Source organism: Homo sapiens, chromosome 4 (assembly GCF_000001405.40).
Source record: "Homo sapiens chromosome 4, GRCh38.p14 Primary Assembly".
Taxonomy (NCBI): Eukaryota; Metazoa; Chordata; class Mammalia; order Primates; family Hominidae; genus Homo; species Homo sapiens.
Genome location: NC_000004.12, coordinates 181,854,273 through 181,879,348, shown reverse-complemented (window position 1 = coordinate 181,879,348; position 25,076 = coordinate 181,854,273). Strand labels below are relative to the sequence as shown.

General features: G+C 37.0%; 1 protein-coding gene across 7 annotated transcripts in view; it reads right to left on the bottom strand.

Moving 5' to 3' along the window:
- TENM3 (teneurin transmembrane protein 3) overlaps positions 1 to 25,076 on the bottom strand; it is a 1,355,412-nt gene that overhangs the window by 923,676 nt on the left and 406,660 nt on the right. For all 7 annotated transcript variants that reach the window (XM_017008385.2, XM_017008389.2, XM_017008390.2 and 4 more), the window contains exon 3: positions 11,517 to 11,597. The gene's annotated coding sequence lies outside the window, so the exon portion shown is untranslated. The remainder of the gene's footprint in view (positions 1 to 11,516; positions 11,598 to 25,076) is intronic.

Sequence of the window (25,076 nt, the reverse complement as noted above, 5' to 3'; positions counted from 1 at the left end):
TCAGAGAATTTCTTTTTTCCATCTTCCTTCCTTCCTCCCTCCCTCTCTCTACTTTCTCTCCCTCCCCCAACTTTCTTTCTTTTTGCCTGTAATGATTTCTCAAAAACAGCAGTTCATTATACAAATTGTATGGAATATTATTCTTCTGAATTTATGTCACTTGACAGTGTTGATTTCTGTAGGTTGACCCATATATTTCTGCACATGGACTCATCAAATAGTAACAGTCTTGCTCTTCTATGCCAGAGAGATATTTACTGGGATAACACACACAGTATCATGGAGCTACCCAATGTGGCAATCCCACTTTCATCTGAAACTAAGTAAGGAGTTGATCTGTAACTGTGAAAAGAGAATAGACTAGAACTCTACCCTTCCACTAGATGAGAAATGCAGCTGCCAAGAACAGAGACAACACTGATTAGGTCATAGACCAATAGACAAAGAGCATTCATAATATAGATAGATAGAGAGGTAGATAGATAGATAGACAGAAAGATAGATAAGCAGGTAGGTAGGTAGGTAGATAGACACACAGATAGGTAGATAGACAGGTAGGTAGGCAGATGGATGGATGGATGGATGCACGCATGGATGGATGGATGGGAAGATGATAGATAGATGATATGATAGATGAATAGGTATATAGACAGACGGAAGGATTATATATAGATAGATGAATGAATAGACAGATGAGCCATCATCTTATTAAGAAATAAATAAGGAAGACAACATATTATAAAATATTAGGAAAAAAAGTTTCTTTGGGAGTATTTAAGGTAAACTCTCAGCATTTACAAGTGTGGAAATAAAGAATCAACTACCAAAAACACTGAAGATCATAACCAAAACAGCATCCCAGAGTAGAATGATGTGCTACACTATGAAACTAAAGAGTCGAATAGGTTAATACACAGACATATATTTTGATTAGACCATAGACCAGACTATCCTTGATGTACTGCTAAGAACTTTCCCCAATTCCGTTCCTCCCTCTTCTCTCCTCCCTTCCTTTTCCTGCCCCCTCATTTTCTTTCCTTTCCCCCCATTTTTCTATCAACCTAATTATACAATATGTTACCTATATACATACCTACCTATCCATTCACCCGAATATAATGATACACAGCCTTGTATATAAGTTAAACACACAGCCAGATGACCACCATTCTCAAACTAGGTTCAGTCATTTTCAGTGAATTCTTTCATGATCTTCATCTGAGCAGACAACTAGAATGGGTGGATCCTTCCTAAGGACTGAACAATATGTCTGGTGCCTACAATAGATCCACCCAGTGAGTGACAGCCCTTATGTCAGGTGTCTCGTTTCAAATTAGTAACACCGCAATGTGCATCAGGAACCTTAAACATGTTTAGCAGGAATGACAGAAACGCCATACGCCTACACTAGGCTCCTCTGTTTCCCCACTACCACCAAACCCTGTCCTTAGTCTGGGCAATCCATATCCATCTAGAAGACTGCATTTTCCAGCCTCCATGTAATAGATGTGGCTATTTGACAACCTCTTGGCCACTGGTTATGTATAAGCAAAGCAGCATGTGGTACTTCCTTAAGGCCTTCAAGGAAGGGCTGGCACCCTTCTTTGTTCCTTCCTCTTGCTGTAGGCCTGGAAGAGAGATGTGATGACTGGAGCTCCAGGTGCTGTCTTGGACTTGATTCAATACCACAGGGGTGGGTGGTTAAAGGGCTAGAAAGAAACCCCAGTGACATCATGGAGCTGCTATGCCTTGGGATTTGCCTTAAGTGAGAAAATCAATTCCTGTATGTTTAAGTCACGATTTTTTGGCAATCTCTTCATATGGATAAACATAAATGCTGACTCATAGAAGAGGTAAAACTAAATATAAAAAAACTAAAGAAAGTACTAATTAACAGAGTTTTTCTGCTTCTAATTTTTCAATTAGCATGAAACAAAATATAGCTATAAAAAGGCATCTGCTGTAATTGGATTATTTTGTATCTTCCACCCTTATTTTTTATATCCAACCTAAGTTGCTTAGATTTAATAAAACAAATATTGCATTTGAATTTGTCATTCAATATTATTTTTATCACGAATTACTATTATGTATCACCTTTATTCCTCAACTCAAATCCCGCTTCAGACATAAAGTCTTACAGGAAGAAAAAATTGTTTACCCCCTCTAAACTCTAACGGTACTTAAGCCACTCCTTTGACATGTATATTTTTACACATTTCACTAGATCACAAACTCCTGGAAGGCAAGACATGTGTATGTTACACAGCTCACAGGCAAACGATTGATATACAATCGGTTTTAGGTAAGTGCTTACTGATATTTGTGGTTATATATATATATCTTACATAAAATACACTTTCCAATAACTCTGAGAAAAGATAAAATTGTTATTAATCATATAATTATTTCTTTATTTTTCTTTTCCCAGTTTCCTTCACAGTTCCAATTATTTCCTAAAGGAGAAATATAAAGACCTAAAATATATGACCTTGCAAATCAAGGAGAATACAATCTATGAATATCTGAAATCCTAAAACTTTTAAATGCTATTAATAAAGACATCAAAATTCCGTTCAAAATACTTTGCATATCTAATGTTCTTAACAAAACATGCATTTCAAGCAGAAGTTTTAAGGGTTTTAAATCACAGATTTTCACAGCACTTCCTTCCGGCAGCTGATGAAAATTGGATAATATACAATCAGAACACTTTTTCTACACATTTTAAATTGATTGAAAAATAGAAACAGATTTAACATTCAAAAAAACACATTTGCAACCGTTATGTAAAAATGGCTTGATCTGATTTAGTAGATACTAGGTATAGAAACTTAGAGCTGACAGCATTCTTTGGGATGTTTTAAAACAGAGGAAACGTATTACAGCACCCAAGCTGCCACTCTCTCAAAATAAGTGCCTCTGACTAACAGTTTGAATCTTCTATAAGCTCTGTCATAAAAGAAAACCTTCCACTTAATGAAAGGTGTTCCCCATATTTCATGGTAGGTACAAGTCTGACATTAAATAGGCTATAAATAGTTTCAAAATAAAAACATAAAAGTAATAAATTGCCAAACATGAGATATATGGAAATACAACATATTTGCATAAGATTTGAAAGTTCAACATTTATTACTATCCTCAATATGATATATAACTTGGTCATTGAAAAATAACTGGATAGCCATTCAAGTTGTCAGTCTGCATTAACTAGGTGTATAGTCAAAGAAAATAAATAATGAACAAGAGTATTTGTCTTATATCATGTTTACTAAGCTCTCAAGGCATGGACTCCATGGCCAGAAATATAGTCCAGAGGACATTGTACCTTTAAAGAGGAGGAAGCATATTTATGGCCAAAGATACCACATTTACTTTCAAATGCTGTTTTGCTTAAGTAATTCATTCTTTTCCAAAGGTAAGGAAATGTGGGACAGATTTCTCTGCATATTTTTTTTTTCTGTGGGATGTTTGGGCATATTCAAGTTATTATGTGCTTTTCATAAGGCCAGGTAATGATAGCTAAAATGTAAATCACTAAGTTTGTCAGGGGAACTGAGAACAGAAGCTCCAGAATTAAGAACAAATCTTAACTTCTCCCCCTAATAATACTTTATGGCCTCTGTCCATCGGCACACTTACACCAACCCAGGGCTCTGAACGTAGAGTCCATGCAGGAAATTCCATCAAACATGGCAGGAAAGATCAATGTGTTGTCGTCTTTTGACTCATTGAGAGGGAGAAATTTGTGAGTAAATGGGACATGTTTTTCCTACTGTAAGAATTGTCTAATAAAAGTATGGTTTGTGTTGTGCAGTTTATTTCTCAAAGACACATTTTGACCACATTTAAAACCTATTTCAGAGTGTTAGAGAATGGAGAGGTAGGTTGTATGAAGACTTACAAACTGGTAAAAAAAAAAAATAGGTTCCTAAAGAAGAAATAACAATATTAAATTTGGAAAAGATAAACTGAATATGAAAAACTAATGAATAATGAAGGTAAATTTGGACTATGGGATTCTCTAACAAATTGCTATTATTAAGATTTATAAATAGGATAGCCAGGTCATTTATTACAAAAGTGAGGATATTTTTGAGAGTGAAATTAATAATAGGTATTAACTGGGACTACATTAGGTAAACAGCAGACATATCTGCCTTATTTATGAGAGATTGGTGGGTATTTTATTTGGCTAGATTTGAAGATGATGAGATGTCCTTTTACTCTACCAAAATGCGAACAGAGACTTGCTGCAATTATTTTGTCTATCACTAAAAAACATGAAAAAGCAGAAGCACGTCAACACATGGCCATGAGGGAATAACTGGCCCTGGATGTGTTCTCTCATCCTAAACAATAAAACTGGACACGATATATACAATAACTGTATGGAGGCAATGAACAACAGGCAGTGCAGGACGGATCTTTGAAAGAAGGGAAGCACATAGAGGGAACTCTATATTTGTCCTGGCTCCCTGCCTTGTGGCAGTTTCCAGATTGCATGCAAAGAAGCAGAGCCCAAGTAGAAAACTGTGTTAACATTAAACAGAGGAGGCGGAGATCAGCCACCGGGGCTGCTGTAGCATCTGGAACATGCATGGTAGGGCACCAGAAAGGAGGATGGTACAGGGTAGGGATAGGAGGAAGGAGTAGAAGTCTGTGTGGAGTCTCTGTGGGTCCTTGGCTAACGCTTATGTTGTACAAATGGAGGGCAAGATTCCATGTGATCAAGCAGGCATTGGCTATTCTTCATGAGGCTGAGGGCTAATCTCTCTGTTTATCTCTTTTATCATGCAGGATGGAGAGAAGTTGAAGCCAACCCAGTCTGAGTGGTAAGGGTGAAAGAGAGACATTTTATCGTAATAAAAGTCTTCATTGATTAGGAACTTAGAACAGCTCCAACAACAGGTATGTGCGTATGCACCTAATAACAGAGATTCAAAAATATGTGAAGCAAATGTCGACAGAAGAAAAAAGGGAAATTGACAAAATCACACTAATAGTTAGACATTTTTGACACTTCTTTGTCAGTATTTTGTAGAATAAGTAGATAAAAAATAAAGAAAATGTCAACCACATGATCAACCAGATTAAATAAATTTATACTTACAAAATGCCATACTCCGCTGGGTGCAGTGGCTCACGCCTGTAATCTCAGCAGTTTGGGAGGCTGAGGCGGGTGGATCACCTGAGGTCAGGAGTTTGAGACCAGCCTGGCCAGCATGGTGAAACCCTATCTCTAATAAAAATACAAAAATTAGGCTGGGCTCGGTGGCTCACGCCTGTAATCCCAGCACTTTGGGAGGCTAAGGCAGGCGAATCACCAGGTCAGGATATTGAGACCAGCCTTGCCAACATGGTGAAACCCTGTCTCTATTAAAAATACAAAAATTAGCTGGGCGTGGTGGTGCACGCCTGTAATCCCAGCTACTCTGGAAGCTGAGGTAGGAGAATCGCTTGAACCTGGGATGGAGAGGTTGCAGTGAGCCAAGATCATGCCACTGCACTTCAGCCTGGGTGACTCCATCTCAAAACAAAACAAACAAACAAATAAACACAAAAAACAAAAAACCACACACACACACACACACACACACACACCATACTCAAGAACTTCGGAGTACATATTTCTTTCAAATGCACTTAAAACATTTGCCAAGATAGATCTTGTGCTGATGCTGGGCTATAAAATAGAATGTCTAAATAAATCTCCAAAAATAGAAATCTCACAAAGTACATCTCTAATGACAGTGGAATTCAATTAGAGATCAGAATAGGAGATATAGAAAATCCCCAATTATTTGGAAATAAAACAACATGCCTCTAAATGATGCATAATGAAAGAATAAATCATAAGAGAAATCAGAAAATATTTTGAGTTAAATGATGATAAAAACACCATGAATAAAAATTTATGGAATGCAGTTAAAGCAGAGATTCAAGGAAAATTGGTAGCATTAAAATACTTATATTAGGCCGGGCGTGGTGGCTCACGCCTGTTACCCCAGCACTCTGGGAGGCTGAGGAAGGCAGATCACCTGAGGTCAGAAGTTTGAGACCAGCCTGGCCAACATGGTAAAACCCCATCTCTACTAAAAAATGCAAAAATTATCTGGGTGTGTTGGCATGCCTCCGTAATCTCAGCTACTCGGGAGGCTGAGGCAGGAGAATCGCTTGAACCCGGGAGTTGGAGGTTGCAGTCAGCTGAGATCTTGCCACTGCACTCCAGCCTGGGCGACAAAGCGATACTCCATCTGGAAAAAAAAAATACTTATATTAGAAGAGAAGTAAGACTTAAAGCTAATAATTTTAATTACCTCCTAAGTATCTGAAAAAAGATCACATAAAAATCAAAGTAAGAAAATGAAAGGAAATAGTAAAAATAAGAGAATAAGGCAATTAATTAAGAAAAAATAAAAATAAAGAAAATCAACAAATCCAAATGTTGATACTATGTGTTTTTCATAAGGCCAGGTGATGACAGCTGAAATGTAAATGAGTTAAGTTTGTTAGAGGAGCTGAGGACAAAGGCTCCAGAAGTAAGAACAAGTCTGAACTCCTCCTCCCAGTAAGACTTCAATACCTCTGTCCGTTCTCATGCTGGTACCAAGGCTAATAAAATTAATGGGCCCCAGCAAGACTGATCAAGAAAAAAATCTGAAAACAAAAATAATCAATATCAAAAAATGAAAGAGGGAATATGATCACAATTCATAGAGACATTCAAAGGATAATAAAGAAATATTATGGACATTTGTGTAAATACACTTTACGACTTAAATGAAATAAGTATATTGAACAACACTGTTTGTCACATCGACACATAGAGGGGAACAACACACACTGGGGCCTATCAGAAGGCAGAGGGTGGAAGGAGGGGGAGGATCAGGAAAAATAACTAATGGGTACTGGGCTTAATACCTGGGTGATGAAATAACGTGTACAACAAACCCTCATGACACAAGTTTACCTATGTAACGAACCTGCACATGTACCCCTGAACTTAAAATAAAAGTTTAAAAAAAGTAAAACCCTGCAAATATTAACACAAAAAGCAGAAAACCTGAATAACTTTATAGATATATAAATATTATATATGTATACACACATATATTTAAATTGCAATGAAAAAGCTCCCCACCAAGATAATTCCAAGCCTACATGGATGCTCTGGTGAATTTCTATAAAAATTTTATGAAACATATAAATCTACACAAATTATTTAAGAAAACACAAAAGGAGGAAATATTTAAATACTTTCCAGCTCATTTAATGAGGCCAACAGTGTCTTGGAATAAAACTTGACAAAAATATTTCAAGAAAATATAGAAACCAATATTTCTCCTGAATATAGACATAAATAAGTTTTAGCAAAACACTATCAAGTCAGATCTAGGATTACATAAAATAGCCATACCTTATGATCAAATGAGGGTTTATCCCAGGAATGCAAGATGGGCTTAGCACTTAAAAAATCAATTTAATTCACCAAATTATCAGAAAAGGAAGAAAGACCATATAATCATTTCAATGTATGAAGGAAGGAAAGCTTTTGACAAAACTGAACACCCTTTGATTATAAAACACACTTAACAAAGTAGGAATAAAAAGGAACCTCCTTAGTCTGAGAAAACATCTATGAAAAGCCTGAAGTTAATGTCAAACTTAATAACAAAATATTGAATATTTTTTCCTTTCCTGAGATCAGAAACCAGGCAAATATACTTTGTTCTCACCGCTTCTATTCAACATTGTATGGATAGTCTGAGACAGTACAATAAGTAAAGAGAAAGACATAAAAGGCATAAAGTTTGGAAAAGATGAAGTAAAACTCTTTATTCATAGACAAAATGACTGTTTACATAAATATTCAAAGGAATCTATAAAAAATCTACTAGAGAGCTCTAAACTAAAAAATACAAAATATTATAAAAGATCTAAATAAAAGGAGAGAGTTACCATATTCATGGATTGGAAGACTCAAAATTGTTAAAATAGCCATTTTTCTTCAAATTGAACTATAGATTCAATGTAATGTCAATCAAAATCTCAAAAAGCTCTTTTATAGAAAATGACTAGTTGATTCTAAGCCATATATGGAATTGTAAAGGATCTAAAATGGCTAGAAAAGTTCATGAAAAAGAAGAATAAAATTGGGGGACTTATATCACCTGATATCAAGACTACAGTGTTCTTAGTGTGGTATTGATATAGGGATAATAGAATAGATCAATAAAATAGAATAAACAGTTCAGAAATAGACACATATGACCCATCAACGTTCACTAAAATTCAAAAGCTATTCAATTTGAAAAGAAGTGATTTTTTTGCTATATTGAAATAATTGTGTGAACATATAAAAATAAATGCATTTCAACCCCTACTTCACACTATGCATAAAAAACTAATTCAAGATAATCAGAGATCCAATTGCATCAAAACTATAAAGATTTTCAAACCTGGTATTGGCAAATATTTTTTAGAGAGGATACAGAAAGCACCAAGAACACAAGAAAATATTGATCAATGTCATCAAAATTTAAAAAAGCCTATTTATCATAAGGCATCATTAAGAAATAAGGCAAGTCACTAACTGAATGAAAATATTCATAGTACATAAAATCTGACAAAGGTCTACCCAAAAGATATTTTAAAGGAAAACATCCAAAAAGCAAATACCCAAATACCCAAAAGATACTTTAAAAGCAAGTCAGACAAGCATATCTAATGGGCAAAGGACTCAAATAGACACTCCAAAAAAGGCAGACTCATGAATGGCTAACAAGCACATGAAAATATGCATCATTAGTCATAAGGATAATGTAAACTAAAGCCACAGTGAGATCACAAGAAAGTTAAACCCAGAAGAATAATAACACCAATTGTTATTTGGGACAAATGGAGTGCTCATCCATTTCTAGTGAGAGTGTAACATGGGACAAAGACCCGAAAATACTGCTAGACAGTGTGTTATAAGCTAACCAGCAATTTTATTCCTTGGTATTATCCCCAGAGAAATGAATACATATGGCCACAAAAAGACTTCTACAACAACGTTCATAATAGCTTGAATCATAGTATCTAAAACTTGGAAACAACCCAAATATACAGGAGGAGAATGATTAAAAATTTGTGGCATATTAATCAATGAAATACTATTCAAGAGTAAAAAATAAATGTATGACTACTGTCATACTCAACAACAGGTATGGAACTGAAAAACATCACGTTGAATGAAAGAAGCCAGAAGCAGAAATGCACACGTTGCATGATTACCTTTCAATGAAGGTCAAGGGTAGGTAAAACCAACCTTCATGGTAGACAGAACGGTGCTTGTTCATTGGTTGTGGATAAGTAGAATTGCCCTTGTCTTCATTACAGAAATAACTTCTTGTTTTTCACATTAATGGCTCAATGGAGTATTTCCATGTGTCTACTTCTGCAATTTCCAACATTTTTTTAAGTTGAGATACTGTCAAATTGTGCATTTTAATGCCAATTTTATTATTTTTATTGTTTGTTGAGCATTCTTGTGATATTTTATTTACTTTCTACTAATTTAGACACAAATCCCATTAGGCAGTGACTAGGTTGTCCCTTTTTTCTGAAGAATGTCAAGCAAATTCTCAGTGCACTCCATAAATGTTAAGCTTATACATCTCTCTAAATCTCAAAGTCTTGGTTTCAAAAAATTTAAATTTTTAATTTTTGTGGGTACCTAGTAGTTGTATATATTTATGGGTGGTTACATGCGATGTTTTGATGCTGGCATGAATGTGAAAAATATCATGGAGAAGGGTGTATCCATCCCCTCAGCATTTATCCTTTAGATTACAAACAATTCAATTATTTAATACCAATTTTAACTTTGCAACTCACTAACTGCTTTATAACATGCATAACCTTAAATTAATTAGAAGACTCCTAGATAGATTTAAACAAAACTGAGTAGGAATTATTACTTTAAATCCTTTTCTTGCATACATGATTTACATAATTAAAGATAAATTAAATACATGTTTAAGCATATGTAAGGTGACATAGGTATATAGAGGACTGCAAATCCCTCTAAACTGAAGTGTTTCCTAAAATTTAAGAGCAAAGTCAAGAAGTTCTTCTGGGTAACAGATAATTAACATATAATAGATAAGATGAGATAAAATATCACACTGTGATTTGCAGATTAATAATGACACTAAATGTAAAGAAATGGTTTAGATGAGAAATTATTTTTTATGAAAGGAAACAGATACCCTAAAATGGAAATTAATAATGTAGGATTAGAACCCTAACATTTAATAATAGTATAAGAAAATTGGTCAGCAACAGTTTTTTTTTTTGGAAATTTAGGATGGGTAGAAATCCTAATATTAAGTGGAGCATTCGAAGTGTTAGGATTTAATTGCTATTTCTTAGAAAGAGGCCTAAAAATTAGCAGGAATCAAGAGGCTGTTGGAAAGGCCTTCTCTGGAATAAATAACTGGAAATGCAGTTATCTTTCTTGAAATAAAGAAATGCGACCCTATTTTGTCATTTATTATGCTAAATACAATAAAGTCTTTAAGAAACATGTTATTAAGCCGTTTGCTGATCTACCTCTCTCTTCTTGGTTGCTTTGAGAAACCATGCAAAATCTTCATCCCATATTAATTACCAATTTAATCAGTCAATGCTAAAAGACAATCTTTTGCTTTAATTATAAAAGGCAGTTGCTGTAAACATTTGACGTGATGAATACCTTTGCTGATCTTGGGCAAGTTGTAATTTATTAAGCACAAATATGAGAAGAACACAAGTAGAGGCTTAAGCAGTAGCGACCCTCGATTAAAACAGGTGATGTTTGCTGGGGTTGAGAGTAAAGGTGAGATAATGCCAATTAGTTGTCAAATCATCTGGCAAAACAGCTGTTACATAAATAGAAAATCACTTGGCCTTCTTGTTCATTTTCTCAATTTCGTCTTTTTTAAGGCCTTCAAAAAGATAGTTCCTCTGTTTATATAAAATTTAAAAGCGGGGAAATAAATTTGCAGTGTTAGAAGTCATGATCCTGGTTAGCCATGCTGGGGTGAGGGAAGGGAGGTGGGAGGGGTGTGACTAGAAGGGGCTGGGGGCTGGAGATACCTGTTGGCGTGTGGAGAATACGCTGTTTGTTAATGGGGTGGGTCCTGGTGAAAGGATGTGCTCCCTTTGTAAAAACCCATCAAGCTGTGCACTTATGGTTCTCACATTTGCTGAATGCATATTATGCTTCCAAAAAATTTCCCGTAAAATATAAATTATTTCCAGAAATATAGGGAATTACCTCAACATTGTGTCAAAACTGAAAGGTTTTATACAGATGTCTGGAAGAAATAACAGTTTTCTTGAAAACTTTTCCTCAATTCCCTCTCCCTCCAAGAAAATATACCAGAACATCTACAATTTTTATTAAATAGGACTTTAAACAAAATGGAGGCATAAACATTAGCTTTGTGCTTACCATCAGATTTAGAAATGCATATGCTACTTACCAAAAAGGTGTGTTCTCTCTCAATTTTGCGGCAGTTTGCTCATTAGAGTTGCCAAGCAGGGGTATTGGTTATGGTACAAGCCTGGAAAAACAGAACAAATAGAAAAATTGCTATCCTATACAACATTAATTTTATCATAACAGTACATGTTACCTATTTCCTGATGTATTTTTCTACATAACTATAAAATGATAACTCGTTTGCTCAGTCATGTAACAAGCAATTGCTATCTTTGCATGTACCAGGTGGTACAGGAGATCTGTAGCTGTCTATTGTAAAACTTTTTCTTCAAGGAAATTAAGCAAACAAAGAAGTGTAATAAATATACCAAACTGGTGAGTATCATAAAAGAGGTATAATCAAATGTTCTGGGAGTCAGGAGGCAGAAGAGGTGACTTCCAACGGGAGGGGTGATACTTTTTGGAGGAGGTGGGGCCTAAATGGAGACTGAGGATGAGTATGGTCTTCAAGGCAGGGCCTGGGGCAGGAAGATTGGATGGGGGCAGCCCAAGTCCGGGGGACAAAATGACCAAGCTGCAGAGTTTGAATATAATGGAAATAGGAGGGGAAATTTGATGTATTTCAGTTTGATTGAAGAAATTTTTCAGAGGGATTGGAACTGAGGTGAAACTGTGAGAGTAGCGATTAAGTCACTCGTAACAATTCGGGCACTGTGCTAGAAATTCCACGGTGAAATTAGAAAGCTACGAGTCCAGGCCTCATGGAATTCCCAGCTGATGGAGACAAACTGATGAGAAGCAGAGGATTATAATAATGCATGATGAGAAGCAGAGGTTTATTGGGGGATCTGTAGCAGGGGAATCAGTGTGGTCCAAGGCTCAGAGATTTAAAACGAAACAAAACAAAACTTCAAGTTTCAGAAAAGTGATCATTAAGGCAATGAGGTTAGATGAGATCGCCGAGGGACAGTATAGAATATAAAGGGAGGGGATATATGGACAGACTCCCATCTAGGAGGGAGGAAGCAATCAGAGAAGAGGAAGGAGTCTCTGAAGACTGTGGCCTTAGGAAAGACAAGTGACGAAAGTTTTATGGAGGAGGCTGTGTTCAAACGCAGAATGCTTTAAAATTCAGGCAGGGTTAATACGGAAAAGTGGTTATTTGTCTTGTTTGTTGACTTGGATAGATGAAAAAATGACAGTAAAAAATGTGGGGCAATGGAGCTGGCCTGATATTCGGTTATTCTACACACACCAGGGCCGTTGTTCTCTTTTCTGAAAAGCAGCCTCTCTTGAACATCACGCAGTGATTCAGGACTTAGCCTGGCTAGGGTTCACAGATTAGAATAAATGACAAAAATAATCATTTCAAAAGCTATAAATTGTAAATATATAATTGCAGTGACTTCTCATTCTTTTACAATTACAGGATTTTTATTACTTGCAATTATATGCCGAAGAAACAAAGCAAGGCAGTATCTACATAAACTAAGTAACCGCGTGGAGGAGCAGTTGGTTTGGTTGTTTAGTCCATCCTCATGAGGAATTAGCCACAACTGATCACCACACAGTTAACCAGGAGGATGTTAGAAACTTCTAGATTCACTGTGATTTTAGCTATAGCTTAGAGTTAACAGCCTTGATTTCTTGAAAATTACAGAAGATAGAAATAGCACGTTAATTTATGGAGAATAATTACTTAAGGGTGCTATTGAGTTTAGCCATGCAATCAAGATTATGGTTTCCAAATATCAAACGAATTAAAATAATCATTTACTGTTAACTTTTCCCTTGCAAAAACCATTTTCAGCTTTCAGGAATTTCATACCCCTTGCAAATATTTAGAAAAATAACTAAGACCTATGGATTTAAAGAAAATGAATATAGTATACAATTTAGAGCCATTCGTATTCTGTACAGGTTTATAAAGAGTGGTAACTAAACTGATTATTTAAAATGGACTTAAACTGACCAATTTCTCTGTTCATAGATAGATATTTTTCTATATTCTGAGATTTTTTCCAGTCAAGTCTCCTTAAATATATATTTGGGGGATTTTGATAAGAATCATAATGCAAACGGAAGAAGAGTACACTGACCGGATTTCTAAAGCGCTACAAACCTATGGACCTGTATCATATCTGAAGATCAGAGGAAAAAGTGTCTATGATGAAAATAGACAGAGTGGAAAAAAACGGTTATTTCTGTCAGTGCTAAAAAGCTTAGAGAGTCACTGATTAAGGTCACTGCCAATGTTGTCAACGACGAAAGTGCTTTAGTGGGCCTTCAGCCCCTCCTCTTTGCCATCCTCTGTGTAGGCATGCGGGTGACGGTACTGTCAGCGTGTCCATGATCAAACACTAAGAGGATTCGGGGTCAACCAGACTAGAACTTTTTAGCAGAAAACTGAAGGTGTCTAAACCCAACTCCAAAGAATGCATTTTGTGTCTTCTGTCCCTTTGTCCCCTGAAGGGCCATCATCATCGGCAACAAGAAAAAGAAGAAAGGAGAGAAAAAATTAGCTATCAGTCATATTCACATTTGTTCTTGGCTTTTCTGGAAATAAAATGTAAAATCTCCAGGAATGAGCCTTCCTTTAAAGATATATTAATAGAATGACAACTGTTCACAACAGCTAGTAAGATCTAAATCCCGTGCTCTAAGCTAATATCCAAACAGCGTATTGGCAATCGACAGCCAGCACAGCTTGCCTTGTTACTCAGGTGAAGTTTATTAAACACTTTTTCTATCTGTAAGCTCCAAAGAATGGTGAAAGATGCTTGTAAGTCAACTCCAGTAGTATTTGAATAGTGTAACTGGAAATTAGAACAGGATAAGCAATAGTTATTTCACATTAGAACACACTTTGTATTACTTTGTAAGGGTGGATTGATATGTTCAGACAAGCAGGTGTCACCAAGCCTTTATCTGAGCCATAGAATCAGCTCACTGTAGAGCAAGTGGAGAACAAGTAATGAAAGACGCGGTTTGCTAATTTGGCTTTGATAATTCAGAGTCTTGGGAAAAGGAGGGTGCCCTCTGTAAAACACTGACTTAAATGGGTGAGAACAATGTAACACACAAAGCTCTAGTTAAGGAATTGCTGGGCATCGAGATTCCCCATCTGGAATATTAGGGCTCTAAGATCTCAGTTCATACCTATACGGGCGGTTTAACCCATCAGCTTGTTGTCATCCTATCATATCTCCCCTATTTTATTTGGCTCTGATCCATATCTCAGCTCATTTGACCACTGACTACTTTGCTGTCAGCTCTAGTTGTTACCCACACCGGTTTCCCAGTTCGTGGTCTAACTGGATTCTGATTATAAGATGTTTTGTATAGTAAGGTAGATCATTATTCAGATGATAGACCGTTGCTGGCTTACTGAGACACAACTCTCTTTCTTTTTCTTTTTTGCTTTCTCTCTCTCTCTCTCTTTTTGTCTCCTGGGTTATTCAAGTCTGTAGCCATTGGCACCCAAGTAGACGGGGTGAAAATGAAATCTCCATCTGGGAACAGCTTCTGACTCAATCAGGTCATTATCAGTGCATTGATGCTGAAATCCCTCAAATGCAAAGTATATGACCCTTATACTCCTGCAGAAATTCAAAGTTCAGCCTGATGGACAGAACTGATAGTTCTTTGCCTCTTATAGTTGAATAATGTGCAGTTTCACAGAGGCTAATGGATACTCACTAGTATTTGCTGAGTTGGTGGAAGATGCTATTCATCAACTAATACTAGTGTGTTACCAGAATTAACTGAGAACTCTAAGCCAGGATTCCACTAAGACGTTTGATTACAACCTCATGCCCGAGAGCCTTGCAGTGGTCCTGTGATTCATGTTCACATGAAACTTGTTAGAGTTCTTGAAATCTAGGAAGGCATATGTGGTTATTACGGCTGTTTTGGTTGCAAACTGACATGAATTAACATATTTGTGACATTATTATTAGATTTTATATTTGCTCATCATGGGCTGTGCTGTGTTGGTACTATATTATAATATGTTGATTGTTATTTTGTTTATCCCAAAGTATTTTGTTACTATGGGGTCTTTTTCGCTTGGAAAATGGAAATAGTCTGGGGTATGTATATCTGTAAGTGAGCCACAATCAAGAGGCTAACTTCCATAAAGAGATGGAAGTTAGCACACAAAAAGTTTCATAAGTAGGGGACCTGCAATAATGATTCTTGCCTGTGGCCTACTACCCTTAGATCTCTGGACCCAGGAGAAAGGCTTAAGGGAACTGGGTACCCAAGGACGAGTGTAAAGGGCAGGTAACTCACTTGTTTGTATATTGCAGAGAGCCCAAATTTCTTTCAATTTTGCCTTCTTATTCAGGTATCATGAGAACCATTAACTTTTTGCCTATAATTTGTTTTTACCTAACATTACTAGAAATGCATTTTCTACCCAGAATGTACATTACATTTCCTATTTGTCCTCAAACCAATGGAGCGTTTCTTCATGCTTTTTATGCATGATATTTACTGTCTTTGACATTTTTATTTAGTAGTCAGTATTAATAAATCAATCTTCATGAGAGTAGCAGAGTCATTGTGATTTTGTTAAAAATGCATTGCTTACAGTTCTTTGAAGAAGTATGAATGTTGGGTTAAAAAGACAAAGGAACAAACACTGTCCTAGAAGCCATCTAATTCATCTTTGCCTTGGTGAAATTAATATATTCACTGAACTGTTAATTTTATTCTGAGCTCTATTCTTTCAAATTCTCAAAGTATTAAATTAGGGTTAAGGTAGCACTTATAAAAGTTAAGAATGTATATAAATCAGCCCACAAATATACCTACCTAGTTTCTCATAAAAACACCCCAAAAGTATTAACATTTTTCATGCGTATTTGTGAAAGACATGATTCACGTGAGCATTCTTTCTGATGTCTGAGCTAAATTTCTCTTGTTTGTACCTGTATTTTTGTCCATCAATAACTTCAGTGAGAACCAGGATATTCTTTACTTCTTATGGGATAGACTATTTTATAAAAAACTAAATCCACTAGAGTTACCTTTCATGTTTCATATGTTTTATTCCCTGGGAACAGTGCTCTATTGCTCTAAACTGGACATAATAGTCTAGTCATCAAAATAATTGAGGAACGATAATAGAAGAAATATAATACAATGTCATATATAATATAATGAAGTAGCAATTTAGAAAAACACATCGTTTTTATTCCATTTTTTATTGAGAAAACACATGGAAAAGAAATTTGCTACAGTGCCTGGCACATCGTAAGACCTGAAAATATGTTTTGTTTTGCTCCCTTTTTGTCTTGCTTCTCATAGCAGTTGGCTCTGTGACAAAGCTTGAGATATATTTTTTTTCTGCAGGGAGGCACTTTTGTTAATGAAGCTTAAAAGCTTAGATTGGGGTGAGAAAAAAGAAAACGGTGGTATTGATAAAAAGAGATGGAAAGGGAAATTGAAAATATATTTTAGTGTGTTACCAGATAAAATAAAATGATTTACAGGAATTCTAAATGTTCTATTGCATTTTATGAGAAATATAGTAGCATATGGGAAAATGGTTTTAGTTTATGGCCTTTCGTGACCCTAAGCTCTTTTACATGCAGTTCTCCCTAGTTTCATATTTGTAGAAAAGTGTGTGTGTGTGCGCTTGTGTGTGTTAAGTTTGCATAATTAAAAGACATTATCCTGCTCCTTTTTAAGCTTAATTAAATATCTATTTTGTCTTTAAGAAATGCTTTGAAGAGATATCACTTTGTAACACCTTATCAAATAATGACAGTATCTACAAAACACGTCTTAAACGTTAACACAAAATTTAACAGTTTCCACCCAAGCCAAATACAAATCAATATTGAACAGGTGAGCATAGATCAGAAGAGGAGGTCATGGGTTCAATCTGTGGGGATATTTCTCATAGAGACTCAAAGCAAAGAATACAGAAATCACTGTGGCAAAATTCCACAAATGAGTTATCTTGCTGACAGTGAAATTATCCTATACTAATTGTATGTTAACAGAGAAACTCACACAAAGGATAATTTCACAATAAAGTGATTACTTAAAATAACTGGGGTACGTTGGTCAAAAGAAAAAGAGGAAAAATAGAAGTAAAAGAAATATTTTCATGGTACAAAATATATTCTTCCATTAAACCATCACGGAGCTAACCAAATCAAAGACAATGTTTGAGATGTTAAATGCTATCAATAAATTTACTTATCTGGGTATATTATAGCCATTTTGACAAGTCATGGACTTAGAAGTATTAGGGATGTTGGAAGATAGAAAGAAAAAAGAAAGAAAAAGGAAAACCAGAAAAAGAGAAAAAACTTGAACAAATAGGCAGTGGTTGAAACACTCAGCAAGTTCTAGCCCTGCTTGAAGTATTGTCCACATAATGAATATTTCAGGTGCATCTTGAGATCCTTATATTTTTCAAAGACAAGTAAACAAGATGTATTTTACATCTGTTAAAGACTTCTGATTGGCATACATGTTGAAAGACTGCCTCAAGATCGAAAGGCGGAATGTTCCTCAAAAGCCATAGCTATGAAATATTTATTCCACCTTCTTTCATGGAAAAGACTGAATTGACTTCGTGACATAAAGCTCTACTAATAATGCCAACAAAATTACACATCCTGTGTTAAATGACTATTCTTAAAAGGTGAGCCAGGTCTTGTGTGTTGTAGATGATCACAAAGAATAATGCAAGTTACAGTTTACAGTGTTCTTGTAAAAGATAATAACGTATTTTCAAGCTTTATAGCACAAGGGACACAAGGCCTGCTGAAGATTTCTTAAGAAAGATACCGCTGGATGATGTTTTTCCCCAGGATTGTTTAGTTTCTTTCTTTTTAATTTCAAAATTACATTTTTTTCGATATCAACCCCTGTTTGTGAGAATCTTTTGTGTATAAAAATGCTGGAGCGATACCTTTGAGTATACTTTTTATTAAGCAAGGCAAAGACTTGTGTGCCTCCAAATATTGCTCAAATCTCCAAAGCCAGCTGAATAAATAAACATAATGTGATCTGCAGCCCAAAAGTCTGCAAATGACTCCATATGATGTTAAAAAAACTATGATTCCTTCTAAGTATTTCTTGGAGCCAATGATTAGCAGCTTTGTTTAAGTTCTGGGACCCCGGAGCCCCCATAAAAATAACTTTGAAATATTATATTATGTGTGAAAATTTTACACACATTGCACATTTATAATCAGCAGACAGGGCCTCTGCCCTTCGTCAACCTGATAATCAACCGTAGGGTCTACTCAAACATGAAAAAAATAAAAGATGGAGAACTTTAAGCACATAATCTCAGAGCCATTTAGAACCATGTGTATTTCTGAAATCCTCTATTACCACAAATCTCTTGGTTGTATTGTCTATGGCATTGTCTGTTTCTCATTATCAAAGTCTAAAGAAATTTGATACAGTCATGTAACACTTGGCGAAGGAGCGTTAGAAAAATGCATTCCAAAGTGCTCGGCTTATCATTTCTTTCCAAAGCAGTAACTACTGTCTGGCTTTACTCTTCTGGAGAAGCCAACTGGGAGGGCGGAGAGAAAAAAAAAATCAAACCAAAGTAAATTAAGCAATGGCCCTGTGCCTGAAATAATCACAGATGTCAGCTTTTAAACAATGCATTGTAGTTAACAGGCGCTTAAGGCGACATTAACCGGGAGAATTCCTACTCTGTAAAGTCACCTTTTGCTTATAGAGTGTGTACCATGCCATTCTTGAAAGCAGGTTTCAGATGGAACCAGGCAGAATAAGATGATATGGGCAAAGTCTAAGGTTTGCATTGCCTGTAATGGTAATAATCAGATGGCAACTGGCTTTAGGAAATCAGATTATGAGTTCCCAGGGATGGTCTAAGGGACATCTTATTCTTTATTTTGGCCAGAACTCAGGGACTACATGTCATTCTTTCTTAAGAGTCAAGACATTAAAGAAAGTCTGAGGAAAAAAATGACAAATAATAGCTTTGAAGGAAGTTTTGTGTGTCTTACTCCAACAGGTGTTTTTTTTTTCTGCTCATGTAAATTAGTTAAGTTATTCAGATATCACACAAGTAGTATTTAGACAATTCTAGAAACGCATATGATCAATTAAGATAAAACTCTGTTTTTGCAATTCAAGCTTTTAAAAAGCATTATAGTTAAAATACACTGCAAAGACATGCTGGGATAATTGGTTGTCAAAGTACATTGGTACCACTGAGTAGTCTTAAAATAGCGGGAAATGCAACTGAATACTGGAAAGGAAATCACTATTTCACTTTCTCAAATAAAACATATTGCACCTCTGAGTTCACAATGGGATATTTGCTGAGAGCCTGTAATTAACTCATAATGATGAGAACCACAGTAATAAACATTTCCTTAGCAAAACACTCACTTGTTTTCATAATTTCCTACTTTTTTGCTGTTTCCTTGTCAGTTTTTTATTAGCTTGCCACTATTACTCAAGAAAATAATGGAGAAAAGGGTGAATAATTTTTCTAGAAAGGGACTATTTTTAAATGCTATATAAAGAAAGGACACTTCTTGATAAAAGCTATCATATCGTCAGATAGTTCATATGGCATAAGGAAAAATGAGGGATTTTTTTTTTTTTTTTTTTTTTTTGAGACCGAGTCTCACTCTGTCACACAGGGTGGAGCGCAGTGGCACGATCTCGGCTCACTGCAACCTCTGCCCCCTGGGTTCAAGTGATTCTCCTGCCTCAGTCTCCTTTAGTAGCTGGGACTACAGGCGCGTGGCCAAAAATGAGGGAATTTTGACATATATGTAAAATTATTTTACTTTGAAAACCCAGAACCAACAAGACCAACACGCCCCTCAACTGAAGATCACCTACAGCAGCTGCTTCCTGCCTCCTCTCCTGCCTGTCTGGCACACAGCTGTTGGATTAATCTTCCCAAATACCTTTTCATCATGTCACTCCCTTGCCCCAAACCCTTCAAGAGCTGCCCAATACCAACAGTACAAAGCTCACATTCCTTGGCCAGGCATTAAGCCCCCTGTACAACTGGTTTCAATTTTCTTTTCTTGCCTCATTTCCCACTATTCCCTTACAATGTAGCAGCCCATGTGAATTCTCTGGCCCGTCTAGTCAATCACCTTTGAAAAAGCTGTACCTTTCTTCTTTTGCTGTCATCTCCTCAAGCTGTTCACTGTCTGGGGTGCTCCCCTCCTCCATCCCCTGGCATATCCTTCAGCGCTGGTCTGGATCTTAGCACAAGCTGTCAGGTAGGATTACCTGTTCTGCAAACGCATCCTGGCTCTGCATGAGATTTCAAGCTCCATGAGAGCAGGAACGTATCACATGCTTCTCTGTGTCTCCTACCATTTTTAGCCCAGTATCTTGTATTGTCCGGCACTGGATAAATAGCTATTGGTTGATATAACGATGGCTACTCTAACACACAAAGCATTAGCCCAGCATCTGATGTGCCTCACTAGTGTCCTTTAGAAATAGCTGGTTCATTACCAAAACCCCTAATTTCTGCCCCCCACAAATTTTCCAATAACATCCTTAAAAGTAAGAGCAAGGCAAGGAATGAAGCAAATAAATCTTGCAAAGTATTTGGGCTGAATTTGCAAAACCTATAAATCTAAACTTCATTTATTGCATATCAACACATATGCCAAAATTCAGGAGGCTGAGGTGGGAAGATCTGTTGAGCTGCTGCAGTAAGCCGTGATTGCACCACTGCGCTCCAGCCTGGGTGACGGAGTGGGACCCTGTCTCAACATAATATACACATGCCAAAATTAAATGATTTTAATACATGTGAATAGTTATTTAAACACTTAAAAATACTCTAGATATTTAGAAGTAGCTGAATGCAGCATATGTTCAGGATCGCTGGGTCCAGTTTTGGCTGTAAGTGTGATGGCCTGGCTTGGGAAGGGGACTCTGGTTACAACTGCCTAGCAGGACTCACTGCTCCACATGTCTCTCTCTGTCCTTTCTCCTCACAGCAGACAGAGCCATGTTTCTTTAATGAATGTCAGGCCATGCCACTCCTCTGCTTCAACACTGCCAATGGCTTCCCCATTACACCTGCATAAAAATCCAGTCTCTCTCTCTCTTTTTTTTTTGTTTGGGGGAACAGGATCTCTCTCTGTCACCAGGCTGGAGTGCAGTGGTGTGATCTCAGCTCACTGCAACCTCTGCCTCCCAGGCTCAAGGGGTTTTCCCACCTCACCCTCCCCAGTAGCTGGGACTACAGGTGCACACCACTATGCCTGGCTAATGTGTTTGTTTTTTTTTTTTTTGTTTTGTTTTGTTTTTTTTTTTTTTTTTTTTTTTTGTAGAGACAGGGTTTCACTATGTTGGCTAGGCTTGTCTCAAACTCCTGACTTCAAGTGATTCTCCCGCCTCAGGCTCCCAAAATGCTGGGATTACAGGCATGAGCCACTGCACCTGGCCAAAAATCCAGTCTCTTTTCATGACTGACAAGGCCCTTTGCTCAGATCTCATCCACCCCTCCCCTGGTCCACCCCTCCCCTCACCTGCCCCCTCCAGCCACCCTGGCCTTCCCTCTGACGTCTGTCTTTGTATTTACTGTTCACCCAACCAAAACCTCTGCCCTTGATCTTTTCCTGGCTGGTTTCTTCTGTTCATTCTCAAACATTTCTCTTCAATGAGGTCTTTCTTAATCACCAAATCTAAATTCAGTGCCTCTCATGCCCTCACCTTCCCCTCCATCACATCACCCAATATGAAAAAATATTCCCTACTGGTATCTGAAATAATCTCAGTTATTAAGTAATTTACTTGCCTATCTTCTTCCATTAGAAGTAAACACCATGGAGCTTAGTATCTTTTCTGTTTTGATCACCATGGTTTGCCCCAGAAATTGCTTTGGCACAGAGCATGTGGTCAATAACTATCTGTCAAATGAATAAACTTGCCTAAAGTACACAGCAAGTAAGTGACAGAATAAGCCCTGAAACCCAAGTCTGCCTGTCGCTATAACCACTGTGGTGCTGCCTCCTACTCTGTCCAGGTGCTGCCGTGGCCCAGACTTCACTTCACCATCCTTATGCTGAGTGCCGACCTCCTCTGGTGTGTACAGAGCAGAAGCTAGGGATTCAAGATAAATACAACAGAGAGAGCCAGTATGCCTGTCAGTCCAGGAGGAGCAGCCTGCCCAGGGAATCACACAGGACTGGGACCACAGAACCTCACGCCACACCAAGAAGTCATCCCAGAAGTATCAGCTGGAGGGACAATCACACCAAATCACTTATAACTTTGTTAGAAACAATTCGGCACTATTGCCAGTGCATAAGGCACGGGCATTGATGGAATGGGCAAAAAGGGAAACATCTATGTAGGGTACACTACAGAAGATAAATCAGCAAGATTTACTCATTCATGAGATATTGGAGAGAGTAGGTGCAGGCAATAATAAAATCTCAAATGGGTTGACTGGGAAGAAGGGGGTGTCATTGATAGAGCTCATGCACTTAGAAGGCAGAGGAGGCTTTGCAGATGAAGCCGGGGGGAATACCGAGGACTGCTTTAGATTTATAGGTCTTGGCATGTTGCTGGTGCTCAGAAAAGATTTGTCCAAGGTCCCAGATTTCCTTGGGAAGTTAAGAGGAAGGAGAACATTGAGGTAGGGGTAACTGTAAATTCCTCAAGGTCTGGGACCATGTGCCCCTCCCTCCCTTCCTTCCCTTTCCTTCCCTTTCCTTCCCTTTCCTTCCTTCCTTCCTTCTTCCTTCTTTCCTTCCTTCTTCCTTTCCTTCCTTCTTTCCCTTTCCTTCCTTCCTTCCTTCTTCCTTTCCTTCCTTCTTTCCCTTTCCTTCCTTCCTTCTTCCTTTCCTTCCTTCTTTCCCTTTCCTTCCTTCCTTCCTTCCCTCCTTCTTTCCTCCCTCTTTTCCTTCCTCCTTTTGTTCCTTCCTTCTTTCTTCTTCCTTCCCTCCCTCTTTTCCTTCCTTTCTTCCTCCCTTCTTCCTTCCTACCTCCTTCTCTCCTTGCTTCCTCCTATCCTCCCTCCCTCCCTCTCTTCTTTCCTTCCATCCTCTCCCTTTCTCTCCTTCCTTTATTCTCATTTTCTGTTTTCTTTCTTTCTTCATAGCACTTGATATACAACTATTAATATGACAAACACTCCATAAATACTAGTCACATAAAGATTTGAAAAGCAAGACTTAACTAGTTTCTACATCTTAAATATCATTCATGTTCCAAGGAATTTAGCATAGCATGAAGAATAATAACCTTAAGTTCAAATAGATCTGCCCACTACACTTTTTCAATATCTTAGGCAATTATGATTCACTTTCCTTATTTGAAATTGGGAGCCAAACAAACCCCTGTAGGGTTCTTCTGAGAGTTACCAAAAATAACGTACTTGGGATGGTAAGCAGGATGCTTGAATCATAACTGACACTTAATAAGTGATGAATCATTAATATTGCCTCAATTTTCCTCATTTCATGTTGGGCTTTTGAGAATTGTTATATAAGTTTAGAGAAGTACATGCCAATCTTAAACTTGAGCTAGTAATCTTACCTTATCTTCATTAGAAAACATCTGTCAAGTGTCTAATTTCATGTGGTATTTTGAAAGTAGAACTATAAAATTAAGGAGTAATGTTACTACTACCAAACTTTATCCAAAACACAAAGAAAGCTTACAGTGTCTAATAACACAATAACAAGTTAAATGTTAAATTTTACTTCAACCTACTTCCACTGGCCCATTTATGTGAATATCATCTTCTTCCCTCTAAAAATAATATTGCATCAACGTTATTTCACAAAACAGAACAGAACTCAGTTCTTGTATGTTTATTTTCTGTTATATTTCTCCATATTCGCTTGTCTATCTCAACCACAGTATATACCCAACCAATTATTTCAGTTTTCCTGTAAAGAAGCAAAAGTAGAAAACACGGCCTTAAAAAAAAATCCATTCTTGCCAATATTCCAATCAAACCCTTATGCTAGCTAACGCGTACTCTGTAGTCTCTATTATTAATCTGAGAAGGCGGCCTTTTGGGGACAGAGTATTCTTCACATAAGTTCATCACTAGCTAGCACTGACATTGATCATTTTGTGATCCTTCATAAATGATGACCAATTTAAAAAGTAGAAAAATATTACATAAGAATACCACAGGGATTGACTTCTTGGGCCCTACTGACCTAAAATTACTTGAAATGTTAAATGTGTTGGAAAAGAGTAATGGAACACTACCAAGTCTCAGACAAAGGCATGCAGATTATGTTTCCTGGTACAGAGATTGCTTTAAAGACATAAACGTCTATTATGGCATGATTCGGCAACAATTTATTTGCAATTTAACAGTGTAGTAAAGTCAAACATTACCATTTATTGCCAGTTGGAAAGGGGAAAAAAATGGGAAACTCTGTGTCTAGGGAAAGATACCGTAGTTTGGCACATTTGCTGGTTCTTAAATTAACTGCTTTTCTGAACGAGCTTGCCTATGAGTGTGTGGTAGCCCAGTGTTCTTCTGACTAATTCGGATTGCTTGAGGCCATGGAATCATTGAGTGGTTCCATTCATGAACAGCAGATGAAGTATGACAAGGCTGTAATGCTCTTAGGAGGAA